The following is a 21181-nucleotide window of genomic DNA, read 5'->3' on the forward strand; positions in this document are numbered from 1 at the left end:
TTCTTAACAGTACCTTTTGCAGAAGAGAAAAGGCGTCTGATTATAAACTACATCAACAGTTAAGTGAACTGCACTATGCCCTTGTGGCCAGAAAATTGCATTTTTTTCTAAAATGAAGGCAGTCTTTTATTTATTTATTTTTTCGACTTCCAAAGCTTGATTTATAGTAAATACAAACATCATTACGTTTGGAAGATTGTAGAAAAACTCTTAGAAAAAATAATTTCAAACATTAGTCACACTGTTGAAATACTCATTCAGTATTAATAATTTGTTCCTCAGTAAGAAATAGAATTCTTCATAACAAATGCCCCAGTGTTGCCTCACTCAAATACTACAGCCATTAAAAACCAAATTGTTAGTGAAATCGGCAAAATGTGTTTGTAGTCTTACTGAACACCTGTAGCTCTATCCTCTGTTGTTCCAATAGGCACCATGTTTATCTGAACAAATAACAGTAGGTCGCATCTGACAGACACTAACACTAAGCTTACATACTGTATGAAAAAGCCTAACACTGCTACGTGTGTTTGCTGTAGGTGTACTGCCTGATGCACATGAAAGCGGACCTAGTTAACACCCTTTGGGGACAGGAGAGTTTACTCTGCCTTGACTGGTTCTCGTTCTAACCAGCAAACTCTAACTTTGTGTTTATAATGATACTTTTTTTTTTTTTTTTTTTTTTTTTTTTTTTTTTGAGATGGAGTCTCGCTCTGTCGCCCAGGCTGGAGTGCAGTGGAGCAATCTCGGCTCACTACAAGCTCCGCCTCCCGGGTTCACAACATTCTCCTGCCTCAGCCTCCCGAGTAGCTGGGACTACAGGCCCCCGCCACCACACATGGCTAATGTTTGTTTTTTTTTTTGTATTTTTAGTAGGGTTTCACCGTGTTAGCCAGGATGGTCTCGATCTCCTTCCCTCATGATCCTCCCGCCTCGGCCTCCCAAAGTGCTGGGATTACAGGCGTGAGCCACCGCACCCGTTCTATAATGATACTTTTTTAAAAAGTCCTGTAACATTGAGGGTAGAGGGAGCCCATCAATTCCATCATACGTAGTGCATCTGCAGATTACTGTGCGACAGATATACCGCAGGCTAAAAGGAAAAGTCCTATTTAGTGATATAGCAAGCAATGGTTCAAAAAAACATGCACTAACTGAGATCTTTATAATGTTCTAAAAGTCCAGTTACCGTGGAGGAATGAAATATACACGGGTCATGGCATCGAAACTAAAGTTGTGATTCCACTGCTCAACTCGGGCATGCAGGGATCTATTGTAGAGGCGGAAACTCACAGAGTTTCCGGTAGTCCTCTTGTGCAGAGTCCCTGAGCAAAAACGTGCCTTCAGGTTTCCCTTCAAGAAGGGCTTCTGCTTCATAACGGTCCACCACTCCCCAGTAACAGGGATTCCCTGTAATTTGAAGCAAATCAGGCACGAGACCTATATGTAATCAATCTGTGTGTGGACTTTCCAAGCTCCTTGTCTGCTAACATGGGTATGGCTGTCTCCAGATATCTGACGCTGCTTCTACCTCCGTGATTGCAAACACAGGGTGGTTGTATCCTCTTCCGAGTCACAATTAACTTGTGGAATTGCAGAACTGTCCCCACTTATTTCAGTCATTCCGGGAGCTAACTTTGGTCCCAGTTTATATAATGGATTAACCTGTGCAGTAGCTTCAAATGTATGTACTTGTGCACTGGGCGGGGGATCAACCCCTTCTTCAATACTAAGCCGTCTTGTCTTTCTAAGCCTAACTTCTTCGTCTTCTGTAGAAACCAAAGATGGATCAAGTGTATCAAAAAATGTTGAATGTGGGCTCACAGGAGCTGTATGCTGTTTAATCAAATGCCATTTTTGGGCTAAATCTGAGCCAGCAGGAAAAGGGCATTTCTCAAGCATTAATTCAGAAAGATGGATTTTTCTTTTATTGGAAGAGAGAGGCTTTGACTGCTTGCTGTAAGTTCTCATGGGAAAACACAAGCCCACAGTATCCTGCAACGTCTTTCTCAGAGAGCGACTTCCTACAGTTCTGCTGGACACACTGTCCATGTCGTGTACAGAACTTACACCATAGCGCCTCTCTCTCCTTTGAAGTCCACTTCGAGTTCTAACAAACATTTGATCAGTATCCAATGAACTCTAGGTCTTAGTAGAACAGGAATGTTTTTTCCTCGCACCCCATGGAGCATGTCGAGAGTAGGAATCTCTTCGTGCAACTCTTGTTCCTGGGGTAACACAAGAATCATTATCCTTTTCGATGCTTATTTCAACAATTTGAGGAATTTCGGTGGCACAATTTTGATTTCTCTTTGAAGAATTATTTGAAGGGCTTAATCCCAGTTGTAAGGCAACATCTTCTCTTAAGGGACGGTTTTGGTGCTGAGGAGTTGAGTCTCCTATGCTGATGTTTTTCTCTTTGACAGACAGACATTTGTCGGAGTTCATGTTAACATTTTCACTACAGCTTCCTCCTTCATGACCGAAGAGATTCTGACACCTGTACTTGAAGTTATTCCACATTTTCCCCACTTTATCCATTGATTATAAAATCATCGGGGGCGCACGGGGCAGCCTCATCCAGGACACCTAAGGCCAGGCAGGACGGGCCTGGACGGCGCAGTCACCTACAGGGCGAGTCCACCCACCCTCTGGTGCGTCCCGTCCCCTCCGACTGCCCAGCGAGCGCAGCCTCGCTTCCTCCGGACTGAGCCTGGGGACCCCAGCTCCACCGGATGCCCCCACCAGGCCCCTACCACCTTCCCTGGTGCCTCCCCCTCTGCACCGGTTTCCCCTTCCCTCTCCTCTCAACCCGTCCCCGACCCCGCCGCCCAGAATGGAAAATACCTTCATATAATCTCTTTTGGTGGGGGTCAGGTAAATATAATTTAGAAGGAGTTTCTATTTCTCACAGGGAAGCAACATTCATCTCTGGAATGTACACTTTAGGTAATCTGGGGGAAGAAAGATAATTTTCCAGCAGTTTTAGCTCTCAAACAAGCAGTATACATCTATGTGGAGTAACTATTTCCTGTAACTTGTTGGAAGTTGATGGTGACCTAGTCATTCATCAAATACTGATTGAATGCCTAGTATGTCAGCCATGCTCTAGGTGCTAGGGATATAGTATGAATGAAACAGAGAAGGCCCCTGCCTTCATACAGCTTACATTCTACCAAGGGAGATAACAATTGGATAGAGTGAGCCAAAGAAACGGGAATATGCCAGCTACGTGGTACATCCTTTCAGATGTGCAGAGAGCTTGCTTTCTGGATTTAATCTATGGTATCCTCATTTTTCAGTTTATCAAAAATGCCAATAATCTAAATTTCACCTGTTTCTGATTAACGAATTCAACAAGTATTTATTGAATGCCTTCTCTACCAATCATTGTGCTAAACATTGAGATATAATGATAAATAATAGCTCCATATAGCTGATTAGAGTTGTATAAAAATGAACTGATTGGGTCTTTCACAGTTGTCCTTGGGTGGGATGCTACTTGTGTGTATCTTCCTAACAATACCTACGAAAGAAATACAAGTGTATGCATTTAGGGGGGCACTGAATAGAAGGCTAGCTAGAGCTAGAATAACTAATAGTGATATGTGAGTGTAAAGACCCATAAGGGCAACAGTCTAGGTGGTCAAGTGAGAATTGGCATTGGGATTTGAAGAACCAGGATAAATTGGATAGCTGAGGTTAGGGAGAGCAGGTAGAAGGAAGGGAGAGTATTCCAAAGGGAAAATCCTGGGAAAAAGATCTAGAGTCAGGAAGAGGCAAGGGATTTCAGGGGGCCAATGGGAATTCAGTAACTTTAGAGCAGAATGTATATGATAGCCAAATAAGAGATGTTGATATTGAGGTCAGTTTGTGTGGGCCTAGATTGGGAGTTTGTCCTTTATTCTAACATAACAGGGGATCACTCAAGGTTCTTAATAGAGACTATTTTAAGCAGGTAGAATATACTAGTTTCTTGTTGAGATGGCCCATTCCGGCTCCTACCCAGCATCCTTTCCATCCCTAACGTCTCCCTCTACAGTTTTCCTGAGGGTTGAGGTAGCCACTGTGTTTCAGGCCAAGATAGTTGTTAATGGGATATCAGGAACGCGACTGGGCTTGACGGGAAGCAAGGCTGGAGTTACAGGCTGGGCTTGGCGGGAAACAAAGCTGGAGTTACAGGCTGGGTTTGGAGGGAATGCCTTCTTCTAGGGTCCCATAGAGATGTTCCTCCCGCTTCCTAGAGAATCAGAGAATGGATGCGCGAGCTCGCTGCTGACGCACTACCGGCCGCGCCACCATTCTTCCGGTTTCAGAAGTTAAGGCTGGTGTCCTGGCCCCAGTCCACCTCTGGGAGCGCCTGCGCCGCTCCGCGGAGAGTCCGTGGATCTCACAGTGAGCGAGTTGGGACCCAGGGAGGGGAAAAGAGAGGACCCCGGCGAGCCATTGCTGGGGCGGCGGGCTGGAGGGTTATCTGGGAAGTCAGCCCCGGCCTCGGTCCTCTCCACGTTGCTGCCTACGCGTGCTGCCCGGACGTAGGGCACTCCTAGCGGCTCGGCCCGCCCAGCCTGCAGCCTCAGCACTGCAGACTCCAAGGCCCAGCACAGTGCCCGGCACAGAGGAGATGCCTAGGAAAATGGCGGAGTGAATGAATGAATGAGTGAATGAGTGATGGATAGATGATCAAGACAGACCTAGGACCCATGTCAGGAAACGAGGTCCTGGGGATCAGATACCAGTTTCTTCCCCCGGCTGATCCTGTAGCTCCGAAACTTGTTTAGAGCCTGTTTTTATAGGAGACGGCAAATAGCGTAAAGTGCACTCGTTGGGAGTCTTGAGACCTGAGTTACAATTCTGGAGGGTACAGAAATCTCTAAAGTACTGTCTAGAAGTCTGTTCCTTGCTTCTTCACAAAGCTCAGTTGACAGCTTGTATGTGATAGCATGTATGCAAACCTTAATGCCTCCCAATGAAGGATTACTATCCATTATATGCCAAACATTACCCCGAATTTAGTGGCTAGGCTACAAAAGAGTGACATCGGAGACTGCCACATGTAAAGATGCTTCCAGTCTTGTTTAGGACGATAAGGGCATAAGCAGATTTTGGTGGTAATATTTTAAACTACATTTATTTAGCACTTACTGTATACCAGGCACTATTTGAAGCATTTGTGCTAATTGATTTAATCTTCACAACAGCGTATTGCGTGTACAGTTTTGTTTTTTGGTTTTTGGTTTGTTTTTTTTTTTGAGACGGGATTTCACTCTTGTTGCCCAGGCTGGAGTGCAACGGGGTGATCTGGGCTCACCACAACCTCTGCCTCCCGGGTTCAAGCGATTCTCCTGCCTCAGCCTCCCGAGTAGCTGGGATTACAGGCATGCGCCACCACACCTGGCTAATTTTGTATTTTTAGTAGAAACGGGGTTTCACAGTGTTGGTCAGGCTGGTCGCGAACTCCCAACCTCAAGTGATCCACCCGCCTTGGCCTCCCAAAGTTCTGGGATTATAGGCGTGAAACACCGCGCCAGGCCTATGTGTAGTTTTTAAGTGAGGGAACTGAGGTACAGAGAGAACAGAAAACTTGTCCCAGATCACATTGCTAAGTGACCCAAGGCTGCATAAGAGATAAAGTGTACTGCCACAGCTTGGGTGAGTGCACTGTTTGGTGCCAAAATGCAGACCAAGAAGGGCTTCAGAGAGGAGTACATTTCAATGTGGTCTCGTTGGAGGGATTGTTAAAAATTCTTGAAAAACTTCATCTAGCTTGCTTAGATTCTTTTAGCTAATTATTGAGGGGTAAGGAGGTGGCATCTGGGGAAAAGCTTACAAGGTAGAGGGAGGAAGCCAGCTCTCTAATAGGTTAGCAGGATAGGGCTATTAAGAGCCTGTTTCCTTTTTACCTTTCACCATAATACTCAGCTTTCCCCAGATCTGCAGAGGGATCTTTTTAGCATCTTAAAATCACTAACAGCCAGATTATTCCACAATAGGCATTTGTAGAAGCACCTGTACATTACTTTCTGGGCAACTTATAGACCTAGGAGTCAGCAAATATGGACCAAATTTGGTCTGCCACTTTTTTTGGTAAAACTGTTTTATTAAAACACAGGCAAGCTCATTCAGTACATATTGTCTGTTTCTGTTTTCAGACTACAAAGGCAAAGTTGAATAGTTGAGACAGAGACTATATTTTCCATTTAACCCATTAAACCTAAAAAAAATTGCTTTCTGGCCTGTTACAGAAAATGTTTGCTGACCCTTGACATTGACAAACTGCTGACAGCTCAGATGATCCATGATTGGAAGGATGTGGTCATCACCAAGATGTCTTTCTTTCTCCGTAGGTTTTAGTATCAACCATAATAGCATCTAACCCCTGTTGAGTGCCTGCCATCGAGTAGATATCTTTTTGAATGCTTTATGTGAATTAACTCATCAAGGATTCACAGATTATCAGAGCTGGAATGACCCGTAAATATTGTCTAATTTGTCACCCTTTTCAGATAAATAGCCTGTCATGTAGGCCCACTCACATGGGCTATTGGCAGAGCAAACTTTCCTGAGTCCCAATCCAGTCTACTATCATCTTGTGAATGGGAGGCCAATACCATAGCCATTGGATCTGGCATTTTGTTTTTGTTTTTGTTTCTGGGTTTTTAAAAAGTAACTTTTTCTACCTATAAAAGTAATATATGTTTATTGAAGGAGAAGTAAAAATATAGAAGAGTATAAAGGACAAACTAAAGTGACCCATTAACTGACCTAGAGATAAATGTGTTAATATTTTGGTGGGTTTTCTTTATGTCTTTTTTAAATGTGTGTGTTTTATCTGTTTATTAACAATAGTTTCTGTTTATTGAGTGCTTAATGCCAGTATATGTGTGCATATTTCTTGTTTTTTAGTGTTTTGTATCTTCCTGTTTTAACATATTATATTTTCTCATGAATATTCTTTGAAATTATGATTTTTGATACCTTCATAAGCTATCTTTGCTAGTCTATCAATGTTTATTTGCCTGTTTATTTAACAATTGTAGTAATAGTGTGATCTTTGTACATAAATCTCTGGCCATCTCTGATTATGCTTTTTCACTTTTTCTTTGATTACAGAAGTTAGTTATTCCTATGGGAAAATTTTCAAACATTACAAAAAGATAGGCCTTAAGGCAAAAGTTTACCATAATTTTATTCTTCAGATATGATCACAATAAATAATTTGTTATATATTCTTATAGATTTGTTTTTTTTTTAAAGTGGAGCAAAATATAGATAATAGAGGACATTTGAGGAAATTATTCACAATTCATTATTTTACCACAGTGATGATTATTTTTCCTTCTTGATCTTATTCAGATGTATTTTTAATTTTTAATTTTTGAGAGGGATCTCACTCTGTCACCCAGGTTGGAATGCAATGGTGCTATCACAGCTCACTGCGACCTCTACCTCCCATGTTCAAGTGATCCTTCCACCTCAGCCTCCTGAGTAGCTGAAACCACAAGCACGACACATGTATATTTTAACAAACATATATTTTACATTATATTACTACTTGAAATTTTACTATACTGGATTTTTTCAACATATGGCATAAATATTTTTCCCAATAAACACATATTTTCATTTTTAATGATCTTAATGCCTAAATAATTTTCACCAACTAGAAGTACCATAATTTGCTAATCCTCAGTGTCCACCAGTAGAAAAACTTTTATTTCCATGTACATTTCAGGGGATATTTTTACAAGTAACAGAAGAATTCTGTTTCTCTTCTCTCTGGAAATTTACTTCTTTCTGAGAAAATTCTATTTGTAGAATTACTAGGTCAAAGAATATAGTCTTTTTTTTTTTTTTTTGAGACGGAGTTTCGCTCTTGTCGCCCAAGCTGGAGTGCAGTGGCGTGATCTCGGCTCACTGTAGCCTCTGCCCCCTGGGTTCAAGCAATTCTCCTGCCTCAGCCTCCTGAGTAGCTGAGATTACAGGTGCCTGCCACTGCGCCCGGCTAATTTTTTGTATTTTTTAGTAGAGACGTGGTTTCACCATGTTGGGCAGGCTGGTCTCGAACTCCTGACCTCAGGTGATCCACCTGCCTTGGCCTCCCAGACTGCTGGGATTACAGGTGTGAGCCACTGCGCCCAGCCGAATATAGTCATTTTTTATGGCATACTGATGACTCTGAGGTACACTACAGGTGGTGTATATACAAAATGAGCATTCTGTTCTGAATTCCTGTATCCACAAAATGTTGATCACAGCATCCTAACTATAACTGAAGCTACAACTTTCACACCTGATGTATATTGCCAGATTAGCTCCAGAAAGATGGTACCAACTTACATTCGCACCGGTATGTGAGAAACTCCCTGTACCTTTGTGAATCTTGAGTGTAGCATTAAAGATAGATTTTCCAGTTTGATGTAAAAATTGATTCTTCATTCTTTCAGTTTCCATTTCCTTGTTTACCATAAAGATGGAACATTGTTTTGATATGTTTACTGGCCTGTTGTAATTCTTGGTGTATTTTTTGTATTTTCCATTTTTCTCTCAGTTCATCTTTTTTTCTTACTCATTTGTAAGAAGTCTTTATTAGGTCTGTCTATCCCTTGATATATAACTGAAAAATACTTTTTTAAAGCTTGTTTTTCTTCATTTTCTTTGTATTTTGGATATACAGAGTATTGTTTTTATGTGGTCAGATTTATCAATTTTTGTCCTATCCATTTTGCATCATGCTTGAAAGTGCTAACCCTAGAATGAATTATTGGTCATACTTTATTTTGTGGTTTTACTTTTTTTATTTAACCCTTTAATTGGTTTGGGTTTATTTTGGTGTGTGGCATGATATAGTAATCGCACTTTTTTTTCCAGGTAGTTAGCAATGGTGCCAACTTGATTTATGAATTATCTATCTTTTTGTGATTAGAAATGCTGCTTTTATCATATATTAAATTATTTTTATTTACATCTCTTAGAGGATTAGAGATATTTTATTTAATTAATTTATTTTTGAGACAGGATCTTGTTTTGTTGCCCAGGCTGGAGTGAAGTGATGCAATCTTTTTTTTTTTTTTTTTTTTTTTGAGATGGAGTTTCGCTCTTGTCGCCCAGGCTGGAGTGCAATGACACGATCCATCCTCACCACAACCTCCGCCTCCCGGGTACAAGGGATTCTTCTGCCTCAGCCTCCCAAGTAGCTGGGATTACAGGCATGTGCCACCATGCCTGGCTAATTTTGTATTTTTAGTAGAGACAGGGTTTCTCCATGTTGGTCAGGCTGGTCTCGAACTTCCAACTTCAAGTAATCCACCTGCCTCAGCCTCCCAAAGTGCTGGGATTACAGGCATGAGCCACCACACCCGGCCAATGCAATCATATTAATAGCTCACTGCAGCCTCGAACTCCTGGACTCAAGTGATCCTCCCGCCTTAGTAGCTATGACTATAGGTACACACCACTACACCCAACTTAATTTTTGTTTTTTTTTGTAGAGGTGAAGTTTTCTATGTTGCCTAGGCTGGTTTCAAACTTCTGGCCTAAAGTGATCTTCCCACCTTGGCCTCCTAAAGTGCTAGGATTACAAGTGTGAGCTACCTCACCTTGCTGGGATTAGAGATCTTTTAAGTGTTTAGACTCACTGTTGGAGTTTTCCTAGCCACATTGCTTTAAAGATTTTATCTGTTACTCCTGTGATTTCAAGTACTTTTTTTATGTCTAAAACTCTTCAGGCCACACCTCTCTCCTCTCTTTCAGCTGTGTATGCCCTGTTCTACTTTCTGTTTGGATATTTGAGACTAAAGATAACTTATTCCTTTCCAGACCAGTGTACCAGTGTCACTAAAGATCACTGTCATCTCCCAAAACTGCCTAATTATCCTTGACATCTCCCTCTCTCACCCTTCCCACCAATATTCATTCATTCTGGTTGAACCTTTCTCTTAATCCAGTCCCCATACTGGACTACTGAAATAGCCTCACAAGGGATCTTCAAGCCTTCACCTTGCCCTCCCACTCCTCACCACTACGCAGATTATCTGTTGCTGTAGACAGAGGAATATGTTTCCTTAAAACAGTGGATCTAATCATGTCATGTATTCTATCAAACTGTTTCAAATCCTTATTATGGCTTTCTCTTCACTTTAGGGTAAAGTCCTTAAAATGTTTTTTAGGGTTCTGTTTGAACTGGCTTGCCTCAGGCTTTTATGTCTCATTTCTGGTGTTTAATACTTGGGCATTACTATGTTTCCTTTATTCCTCCAAAGTACTGAGCTTGATTCCTTTTGTATGTTCATTTTGTCTCTCTTCTTTTCCCTTTCACACGTCTAAAGGGGACCCAGACTATATTAGGTCCCCTGTGCTTTACATTCTGTAGCACCCCATACTTGCAGTTTTGTAACTCCCATATTTGAAATGATTCATTTAATGTCTTTGTCCAGCTATGACACAAGTTGGAGCCAGATAGGGTGTCTGGCTTCTTTTTCCAGCGTCTAGCACTGATTAGTCACCCAAATGCAACTCTGCTTGCATGAGTCTCTGAGTCTCTGTAGGATTGTATAGTAGCTTACAGGTTCCTTTATGTTCTTCCTGTGAATGAGAATCAGAATCAGGAAAACCAGGTAGGATCATCTTCTTTTTTTTTTTTTTTTGAGATGGAGTCTTGCTCTGTCGCCCAGGCTGGAGTGCAATGGCGCAATCTCAGCTTACTGCAGCATCTGCTTCCTGGGTTCAAGTGATTCTCCCGCCTCATTCTCCCGAGTAGCTGGGATTACAGGCACCTGCCATCATGCCCAACTAATTTTTGTATTCTTATAGAGACAGGGTTTCTCCATGTTGGCCAGGCTGGTCTCAAACTCCTGACCTCAGGTGATCCGCCTGCCTCAGCCTCCCAAAGTGCTGGGATTACAGGCGTAAGCCACTGCTCCAGGCCAAGGATCTTCTTAAATCTTTAAAACTCAATGCAGAAGCACAGACTTCACTAAGAAGTCCACAAGACCAAGCTTATTATGTACTTGAGCAGACTTATTTTATTCTTTCATGTCTTCCAAGTTCTTGACTCTGGTAAAATCATATCTGGATCTTCCCTTTTTCCTTGAATAATGCTGCCAGTTCTGCTTCTCACTTCAAGGTTAAATGGAGAGATATTTTTGAGTGAACAGTTTTGGTATTGATATTTTTAAGAAGCAGCATTTACAGAAACTGGTATTTTTGCAACTTTTTTGTAAGTCAAAACTTATTTCACAGTTAAATTTATTTCTGTTTCTTTTTAACTGCAGCCTGTTCTCTGACACTGAGCTATACCTGAAGAAAAACTGTTTAATTGATATGACATCTTGAAGAAGGGACAATCAGTGTGTCTCTAGTTTGTATCAAGTAGATAGCATTCCCTAACACTATCTCAGCTCCTTGGCATTTGGTAGAAGTGGGTAAATCAGACTTAATGCACAAGCTTTGCTATGAGGACATTTTGCTATACAACTTTTAACTATATTAACTGGCTTTTCATATAGATTATTGTATGATGGCCAGAGTGTACTAATTGATGTGAATATTCCTATTCGTTTAATCTTTATAATTATAAAAAGGTAATGAATAACATTCTGATTTACTTATCAAGTGCTTAAATATTTGATAGTATGTTAGTCTGATGTTACCACTTCTTGAACAGCTGGCAAATGGGGTGTGAACCTAGGAGGCTACAAGCCAATGCTGATTTTTGCGGATGCTTCCACATTGTTATCCTGAGAGTTATTGTGTGTGTTATTAGATAGTGTCCCTAGGCAACAGCTCTTTGTTTTCGTTCTGTTTACTGGGACAGTAATATTCCCTCCCTCCCTGCACCTTTTCTCCCCATGAGCAGGGTTCCCAGTTTTCCAGACCTGAAGTGTTTTCCAATCAAAGCGAAGAGACGATCTGTGGATGTTGAATATGCAAGGAGCTGAAGAGAGAGACATTAGAAGAGAGACTTGTCCAGGTGAGTGAGCAAGGGACAAGCAGTGGGAGAAATAGTCAGCCAATAGGAAGCCTTTGGAAATTTTAGAGGACAAGCTGGGTGAGGCTCAGGAGATAAAATAACTGTCTCTTATAGGGATGTTGGGGACAGGGGTGGGTGAACATGTCTGGGGCCAACTTTTCCCCAGTACTAATTTTATCATTCTCATTTCTAGCATTTTCCTGTTTACATTCTCCCACTCTCCACTCTGGATACAAACCATTCATGTTTCCTGTCTTGCCCTAATCTCAGCCTGTGTGTTGGGTGTTGTTTTTCATTTATCTCTATTGTCTCATTCTCTTGCTCCTTGGGTGTCTGTAGCTACCCCTTCCATGGGAGTTCCTCGTTAATGGTGATCACATTACCCTAATGCATATCTCTTCTACCAGTTACAACTCTAACTTACTTGCCACACTTGCTGTTACTGGCCCTTCATCATAGGCCATTACTGAGGTCTGCCAAAAGTTAAGGTCTTACAGTTTCAGGGGCCTTCACTCTGCCCTGTACAGGAGATATTCATTCTGCTGTTTTCTTTCAGGCTGGGTAAACAAGAACAAGCCTGCTCTGGAGCAGGATGTCTGTAAAATTGACTCATCAGGGATAGTAGTAAAGAGGTTCCAAGAGGATGAATACCAAGATTCTACATTTGAAGAAAAATATGCATGTGAGGGCATGAAGGAAAACTCTCCTAGGGAGATTGCTGAATCATGCCTTTTCCAGGAAGGAGGTTTTGGGAGAATAACTTTCATCCACAAAGAAGCACCCCCTGAAATTATTAGTCAAGGATATAATTTTGAGAAAAGCTTGCTTTTGACCTCAAGCCTTGTTACACGTCTCAGGGTTTCTACAGAAGAGAGTCTGCATCAGTGGGAAACAAGTAATATACAAACCAATGATATTTCAGACCAAAGTAAATGTCCAACTCTCTGCACACAGAAAAAATCTTGGAAATGTAATGAATGTGGAAAAACCTTTACTCAGAGCTCATCCCTTACCCAACATCAGAGAACTCATACTGGAGAGAGACCCTACACATGTGAGGAATGTGGGAAAGCCTTTAGTCGTAGTTCATTCCTTGTTCAACATCAAAGAATTCACACTGGAGTGAAACCATATGGATGTGAGCAGTGTGGGAAAACATTTCGATGTCGATCATTTCTTACTCAGCATCAAAGAATTCACACTGGAGAGAAACCTTATAAATGCAATGAATGTGGGAATTCCTTCCGCAATCACTCACATCTCACTGAACACCAGAGAATTCACACTGGAGAGAAACCTTATAAATGCAATAGGTGTGGGAAGGCATTCAATCAGAATACACACCTTATTCATCATCAGAGAATTCACACTGGTGAGAAGCCTTACATATGCAGTGAATGTGGCTCTTCTTTTCGAAAACACTCAAATCTTACGCAACATCAGAGAATTCACACTGGGGAAAAACCCCATAAATGTGACGAATGTGGGAAAACTTTCCAAACAAAGGCAAACCTCTCTCAGCATCAGAGAATTCATAGTGGAGAGAAACCCTATAAATGTAAAGAATGTGGCAAAGCCTTTTGTCAGAGCCCATCTCTTATTAAACACCAGCGAATTCATACTGGAGAAAAACCATATAAGTGTAAAGAATGTGGCAAAGCGTTTACTCAGAGCACCCCACTCACTAAACATCAGAGAATACATACAGGGGAGAGACCCTACAAATGCAGTGAATGTGGTAAAGCCTTCATTCAGAGCATTTGCCTTATTCGGCACCAGAGAAGTCACACTGGAGAAAAACCCTATAAATGCAATGAATGTGGAAAGGGCTTTAATCAGAACACCTGCCTCACTCAGCATATGAGAATTCATACTGGAGAGAAGCCCTATAAATGTAAAGAATGTGGGAAAGCCTTTGCTCATAGCTCATCTCTTACTGAACATCATAGAACTCACACTGGTGAGAAGCTCTATAAATGTAGTGAGTGTGAGAAAACCTTCCGCAAGTATGCACACCTTAGTGAACATTACAGAATTCACACTGGTGAGAAGCCTTATGAGTGTATTGAGTGTGGAAAGTTCTTCAGACATAGTTCAGTCCTTTTCAGACATCAGAAACTTCACAGTGGTGACTAATGCTGCCATTTAGGTTATGACAGTTTCTCTAGCGAGGATGACTACGAATCTGACTGGGAGTAGAGGGGCAGGTAGAGTTCCTGGAGGGAAGGATGAAGGAGCCTTGGCTACTGTACTCTGAGAGGAATGTTTCCAGAAATGGAGGTGGGAGCTTAGGGAATGCAGAGCCTACTTGAGGTGGGCATCTGGGAATACAGGGTAGAAAGAAATTCCTGCTTTTCAGATAAAGCCTACACATTGCCACTGTCTCCCCATGTGACTCTTACAGCTTGAGGAGGCATTTGTTAGCACTTCTGTTCACTTTACTACATCCTGCCCCACATTCTGACTTGTCACCCATTTTCGTTGGCTGGCAGGTTGAGATGTTTTTCTTAAACACTGCCTGTCAGTGTGAAGTGGCACAGCTCTGATGTAGTGCTAAGTCTAGCCTCCAGATTTGAGGCAGCCCTGACCATGCTACCATGGGGGAGGCTCCCAACCTGTGGAAGTGGTCCTGTGAAAAGGAGACAGAAACAAGTAAGAGCCAAAAAAAAAAAAAAAAAAAATCCATATCCATTCATTAAAAAAATGAGATATAAAGCAACAACTGGGCTGACCTCTATAGATCTGCCAGTAAAGAAGGCTTTCTTTCATTATCAGGGTGAAGGTCTTTCCTGATTCTTCCAAGCTTTGAGGTGACTCAGAGCTAAGAATGAAATAGGAGACCAAGTTAGAATTCATGATACTGGTTTATGGGGAGGCAGTCATACCTGTTCAGAGAACCAGGAAGACTCAATATCTATCTCAGAGGAAATATGGTTACCCAGGAAAGAAATGGTCTGCTAGAGTGATAAGACTCAGAACAGGAAGCCTGCATGTGACTGAGCAAGTCACCTACATAACCCTGCCTGTACTAAGGTGTACACCTGTCTATTGTAAGTTTGCCTAGGCTGTTGGTGTACAGAGACCAGAGGAGAGAGACACACTAGGACTAACAATGTCCTAACAAAATGGTACTTAGTTTGTTGGTCTTTAGGAGAAAGCATTAGTAATGAAAGAAGAAAGAATTTTCACTTGGTTGGACATTGGGGCTCTTAAGAAAGTTGACATTTGTCGTGGAATGACTTTGGAAAGACTTCTAAAAGAATCTTTTTCAAATCCCTGAAAATCAGGATAGCACATTTTGCTACTGACTGTGACAGTGTTTTATTCTTTTGAGAGAAATGACATAGTTTTCCCTTTATTTCCCAAATTCCTTTCATGTTCTTAACTGCTACCCAGAAATTGAGCTTCAGAAGATTGAGGATAGCCTTTGATTGGTATTTAAAATAATTTCTAAGCTGTGAAGCTTATAGCATTTTTAAAGTATGGCTATTAAAAACACTAAGTTGATTCTGGAATGCTTGGTTATTTGGAACTCATCGTTTTTTTTTTTTGTTTTTGTTTTTTTTTTTTTTTTCTAGAGCAGTTGCCTTGTAGGGATAGGTTTGGGCCATGAATTACCATTAATGGGAGTATGGTATAAATATATATCTTTTTCACTTTCTATGAAGATTATGTTCTTAAAACCTACCACCAGTGAAGTCATAATTGAGAAAATTAATACACTATGGGTAAAAATAATGCTGTAAAACCTTTCTAAATATGTTTGTGAAAATATTATTTTACCAAAAGCAAAAATGTATTTATACCTCCTAGATAAAAACTGCATAATTAATTACTGGCACATAATACATGTTCAGTAAATATTTATTTCATGAGTTATATCAACTATTGCCCAACAGAACCTTTCTTGGAACTTCCTGATGAATAGTTATTTATAGCAATATTTGTACACCATCTTGAGAATTATGAGTGGAGATTAGAATAGGGAGAGTTTTCTTAAGAAAGAAACAAGAAAACTTTAAAGATATCTCAGGAGGCTGAGGCACAAGAATCACTTGAACCTGGGAGGTGGAGGCTGCAGCCAGCCGAGATTGTGCCTGTGCACTCCAGCCTGGGAGACAGAGTGAGACTTTTTCTAGAAAAAAAAAAAAAAATGATATCCATAAGTTCTTGTGGGAAAGATTTTCTCAAGTGAAACAGACTTGATCCTGAATTTTTCTCAGGCTGAGAAAATATGGCATGTTTTTACCTTCTGGGGAAACAGTTAAATAACTGTTCTTTCCACTACCCTGACCCCATATTCTTACACTTGGACTTATGTGCTCCCGATTTTCTCTCAGTTGCTGGCCCATGATGTACCTAGTCTCTCCAGCATGGCCCCAAACCTAGTCATTGCCCTCACCCTCAGTTTTCCCTCTTATTCAATCTTCATATCCATTCAACCACTATGTCCTGTTGAAGTTATCTCCTATCTCTGGAAGCCATCTCCACTGCAGTTATTGTAGTCCAGTCCCCTACTCCCTAATTTATTTTCTAGACTATTTTATTTTTAATTTTAATTTTTTTTTTTTGAGACAGGATCTCACTCTGTTGTCCAGGCTGGAATGCAATGGCATGGTCTCTGCTTACTGCAAACCCCCACCTCCCAGGCTCAAGCGATCCTCCCATTTCAGCCTCCCAAATAGCTGGGACTACAGGCATGTGCCACTATCCTTGGCTAATTTTTATATTTTTTTGTAGTGATGGGTTTCACCATGTTGCTCAGGCTGGTCTCGGACTCCTGGGCTCAAGCAATCTGCCTGCCTCAGCCACCCAAAGTGCTGGGATTATAGGCATAAGCCACTGTGCCTGGACTTCCTATTTTAAAATTTATCTACCAGTCTTCCAGTTTCTTGCCCCACTAGGCCATCTTTCACATTTCTTCTTGATCTTTATAAGCATAACTGGCTGCTTATTGTTTTCGGAATAAAGCACTAGTCCTTTAAAGAGGCAGGTGAGGCCCCTCATCTGACCCATGCCTGAATTGCCATCCTTAGCTGCCATTCCTTGCCTGGCATGTTCTATTCCATAGTTCAAATTCCTGTGATTCTGGAATATCACCTCTGGACTCTATTTTGGCACTTCCGCACATAGTGTTCCTATTGCCTCAGTTCCTTTTCCCTGCTTCTGCTTGCCTGCAAAACTCCCATTTTTCACTTACGAGTGTGCTCAGGCAATATCTCAAAGCTGTCTCTAACCTCATGTATTTTTTATTCTGTCTTGTATTTTTCATCATTTTATTATGTTACATTATAATGGTTTGTTCACACATCTTTCCCTTTGTCAGCTTTGCTAGGGAAGGAACAATGTGAAATTTCTTTACCTTTGTATCAACAGTGCCTGGTACTTAGGAGGTGCTCAATAAGCATTTGTTGAACTCAACTGAAGAGTCAGACATTTCTCTGTGCTAGTCTGCAGGTTGTGACTTAAGTCCCCAGTTGTCAGCAGGAAGGAGGCATGGTGAGTATGCGTGTCCACGAAGTGTCTGCCAGGAGCAACAGTTCTGAAACTTTCCCTAAGATTGTATTAAACAGAAGATCCCATAAGAAACAATATTTTTCAATTAGAGATTTAAAAGTCCTATCACAATTTAACTAAACGCTTTCAATTATATTGATGTCAGGGTCAACAGGAGGAAAATGCATGCAACTGCAGAAACACACCTGTGTCAACTGGAATACCTATGAAATAGCAGGAACTGAAGAGTAATGCTGGCCTAGCAGGAGGGCATTTGCAGTTTACAAATCCCAAACTGGGCCAGGCATGGTGGCTTGCACCTGTAATCCCAACTACTCAGGAGTCTGAGGTGGGAGGATTGATTCAGGCCAGGAGTTCAAGAGCATCCTGTGGAACATAACAAGACCTTGTCTAAAAAAAATAAATAAATAAATAAATAAATAAATAAATAAACCAGGTATGGTGGTGCATGCCTGTAGTCCTAGCTATTCTGGATGCTGAGCCTGAGGTGGAAGGATCGCTTGAGCCCAGGTGTTGGGAGCTGCAGTGAGCTAGCATCATGCCACTGCACTCTAGCCTGCGTATCAGAGAGTGAGACCCTCTCTCTTAAAAAAAAAAAAAAAAAAAAAAAAAAAAAAAAAAAAAGTACCAAAGTGGAAGCACTTCCTGAGATTTTGGGCCCTGGGATGATAAAGAATTTGAGTGTCTTGCTTATTGTGCACTGAAATTTAATTCATGACTTTAGAAGGACACAGATGGAGCCACGTCAGATCCTCAGAACAAAAGAGAAAAGATGTTGGGGTTGCTCAAGACCACACAACCAGTGTCAGATGAGGTTTAAACTGCAGTGTCCTTGCATTTCATTTACTTTTCCCTGTATTGGTCATACCTCTATTCCATATGCCTCTTTATTTTTTATAGAACTGACTACTTTTTTTTGTTTCTGAGATGGTTTCGGTCTGTTGCCCAGGCTGGAGTGCAGTAGCGTGATCCTAGCTCACTGTAGCCTAGACCTCCCAGGCTCAAGCGATTCTCTCACCTCAGCCTCCCAAGCAGTTGGGACTACAGGCGTGAGCTACCATGCCTGGCTAATTTTTAAAAAGTATTCTCTGGCCGGGTGCGGTGGCTCACGCCTGTAATCCCAGCACTTTGGGAGGCCAAGGCAGGCGGATCACAAGGTCAGGAGTTTGAGACCAGCCTGACCAACATGGTGAAACCCCGTCTCTACTAAAAATATGAAAATTAGCCAGGCATGGTGGCGCGTGCCTGTAATCCCAGCTACTAAGGAGACTGAGGCAGGAGAATTGCTTGAACCCAGGAGGCAGAGGTTGCAGTGAGCCAAGATCATGCCACTGCACTCCAGCCTGGGTGACAGAGTGAGAGTCTGTCTCAAAAAAAAGTTTTTTAATATTATTTTTTGGTACAGACAGATTCTTGCTATGTTACCCAGGCTCATCTCTAACTCCTGCCCTCAGATGATCCTCCTAACTCGGACTCCCTTACAGGCCTGAGCCACTGCATCCAGCCTAGAATTGACCACTTAGTGCTCCAATCTTTTCCTTATCCTGAGGATGTGAGGAGCTCACTTGTATAAGATTGAGAAGCTTTTTGTTCTCAAAATCTCAGACTTTCCTGAGTGTGAGGGTGACAAGTAAGTTGATGATACCTTTTGACCCCTACTTTCTACATAAGGTAGAAACCTAATCTTGACGATATGTGGCATTAGTTTCATTTATCCAGTGGCCACATCAGGGCTAAGGTTATTTTAGTGTTTTGGAACGTTTTTGGTGTCCATCCCTACCATCCGTTTTCCACCTCATTGAAAGAAGCTCAGCCCAAACTGCTATTAAACTCCAGATTACGGTTTCTAGTAACCTCAGGTGCCTCCCTCCAGACTTAATGTCCTCCACACACTACACCCTGCTGATTTGGAGACTCTTTGAAGCCTAATGTTTGGGGAATGAATAATTAGACCTAGGGTCTCTGGCCTGTGAGATGTTAGGGCTGGAGGGAAGAACTTGCTATCTGATTCCAAAGAAGTGCTGAGAATGTGACACCTGGAGAGGGAAACTTAACATTATTGTTACATGGCATGTCAACTGACAATTTTACAAAGGGTCACTTTTTAGCCAAAGATAGCGATGGCCTCAGTCTGTGGCACCAGCATTCCTGATTTGTGTCCAAAAGGGACTCCATTTTGGGAAAACAGCCAATCTGAAGATTGGAATGGATATTTTTTTTTTTTTTTAAGATGGAGTCTGGCTCTGTCACCCAGGCTGGAGTGCAGTGGCATGATCTCGGCTCACTGCAAGTCCGCCTCCCAGGTTCAAGTGATTCTCCTGCCTCACCCTCCTGAGTAGCTGGGATTACAGGGGCACACCACCACGCCCGGCTAATTTTTGTATCTTTAGTAGAGACGGGGTTTCGCCATGTTGGTCAGGCTGGTCTCAAACTCCTGACCTCGTGATCCGCCCCCCATGGCCTCCCAAAGTGCTGGGATTACAGGTGTGAGCCACCATGCCTGGCCTGGAATGGATAATTTCTCTGCTGCATCTCATTAATTTATACAGCAAGTGTTCACTTCTATATGCTGCACACTAGGGATATGATGGTGTGCACACAGCCCTATTGTCCTGAGATTGCAGATCAGTAGGAATGCTTGGAAGTGAATAAGGTACTCTCCACTCATGCCTTTATCTCTGGACTTTACCTGTCAAGATGAGCCCATGTGTGCAAATATTTCCTGAGTTAGAGCCAGCAAGATCTGAAGTTTTGTAGAAAGGGATGGGTGTGCTACCTTGAGGCCCTGAAAGGTCAGTGAAGTCAGGGCAGAACAATAGGTACTGGAGCTGGGATTTGAGACACAGACAATAGTCCTAACATTTACTGAAGATTTAAAAAATACTAGATGTTCTTAGTAATTCACACGTATTAACCTCACTTAATCCTCACAACAACCCTGTGGTACCATTATTATACCTGGTAAGTGAGGAAGCAGGCACAGAGAGGTAAAGTTGCAAAGTTCATACACTGAGAATCAGGGATTTGAGCCCAAAGCAGTGTTTGATTTGTTTTGTTTTGTTTTTGAGACAGAGTCTCACTCTATCACCCAAGCTGGAGTGCAGTGGCTCAGTCTCTGCTCACTGCAACCTCCCCCTCCCAGGTTCAAGTGATTCTCGCGCCTCAGCCTCCGGAGTAGCTGGAATTACAGGCGCCCACCAGCACACCCGGCTGATTTTTGTATTTTTAGTAGAGACAGGGTTTCTCCATGTTGGGCAGGCTGGTCTTGAACTCCTGACCTCAGGTGATCCGCCCGCCTCGGCCTCCCAAAGTGCTGGGATTACAGGAGTGAGCCACCGCGCCTGGCCTGCAGAACTTTTTCTTTTGGCCACCTGAACAAAGATCCTGGGTCAGTAAGGTGTCAGGGGTTTCTGTGAAGAGGTCAGTTTTCTTCCAGATGAGGATGTGTGTGAGGAAGGTGGAAGCCAGTTTTGTGAAAAGCCTTGAGAATCCCCAAAGGACAGTAACATAGGAAGCTAAATGTGGCGGACTTGCAGGATGAACTGATGCACAGTAAGAGCTCCTTGTGGTCGACCCTTCTGACTTCCATCCCGTTTCCCTGTGCTGGAAGACGCACGCCAGGTGGGGTCGCAGGTTGTTTCTGGTGCCGGCTTAACCGGCGCAGCACCGAAACCCGTAGCTGCGTGCGGGAAG

At 42.2% G+C, this 21181-nt stretch overlaps 1 protein-coding gene, 1 long non-coding RNA gene and 1 pseudogene across 6 annotated transcripts, besides 2 other annotated features; 1 reads left to right on the top strand and 2 right to left on the bottom strand.

Moving 5' to 3' along the window:
• SOCS5P3 (suppressor of cytokine signaling 5 pseudogene 3) lies at positions 980 to 2554 on the bottom strand (annotated as a pseudogene).
• ZNF502 (zinc finger protein 502) lies at positions 4315 to 15486 on the top strand. 5 transcript variants are annotated; one of them, NM_001282880.2, is made up of 5 exons: positions 4315 to 4395; positions 6246 to 6343; positions 9087 to 9209; positions 11858 to 11971; positions 12528 to 15486. In NM_001282880.2, exons 4-5 carry the CDS (start codon positions 11917 to 11919, stop codon positions 14105 to 14107), a joined length of 1635 nt encoding a protein of 544 aa, NP_001269809.1. In that variant the 5' UTR covers positions 4315 to 4395; positions 6246 to 6343; positions 9087 to 9209; positions 11858 to 11916; the 3' UTR covers positions 14108 to 15486. The 5 variants fall into 5 exon arrangements, with proteins under 5 accessions (NP_001269809.1, NP_149987.2, NP_001127912.1 ...); NM_033210.5 differs by lacking the exon at positions 9087 to 9209 and having other exon boundaries at positions 4315 to 4399; NM_001134440.2 differs by lacking the exon at positions 9087 to 9209.
• Positions 7172 to 21181, bottom strand: LOC105377056 (uncharacterized). Its single transcript, XR_940788.4, has 3 exons — positions 20447 to 21181; positions 17334 to 17525; positions 7172 to 7492 (listed from the first exon to the last, which is right to left on the bottom strand). It is a non-coding gene; the product is annotated as an uncharacterized LOC105377056 (long non-coding RNA).
• Positions 11791 to 12990: an enhancer, noted in NCBI's record as "CDK7 strongly-dependent group 2 enhancer chr3:44761628-44762827 (GRCh37/hg19 assembly coordinates)". NCBI's record gives its function as "activates an origin of replication core promoter dependent on BRD2, BRD4, P300/CBP, MED14 and CDK7 cofactors, with strong dependence on CDK7, by STARR-seq in HCT116 cells {active_cell/tissue: HCT116}" and the evidence as "EXISTENCE:reporter gene assay evidence [ECO:0000049][PMID:35650434]".
• Positions 21101 to 21170: an enhancer, noted in NCBI's record as "active region_19770". NCBI's record gives its function as "activates an Ori minimal core promoter by ATAC-STARR-seq in GM12878 lymphoblastoid cells {active_cell/tissue: GM12878}" and the evidence as "EXISTENCE:reporter gene assay evidence [ECO:0000049][PMID:35858748]".

This window comes from Homo sapiens, chromosome 3, assembly GCF_000001405.40.
Source record: "Homo sapiens chromosome 3, GRCh38.p14 Primary Assembly".
NCBI lineage: Eukaryota > Metazoa > Chordata > Mammalia > Primates > Hominidae > Homo > Homo sapiens.

Bases quoted from the DNA above. Each gene is read 5' to 3' on its own strand.
- ZNF502 (NM_033210.5), top strand. From the start codon at position 11,917: ATGTTGAATATGCAAGGAGCTGAAGAGAGAGACATTAGAAGAGAGACT. The intron at 11,972-12,527 runs GTGAGTGAGCAA...GTTTTCTTTCAG, and splicing joins TAGAAGAGAGACTTGTCCAG to GCTGGGTAAACAAGAACAAG.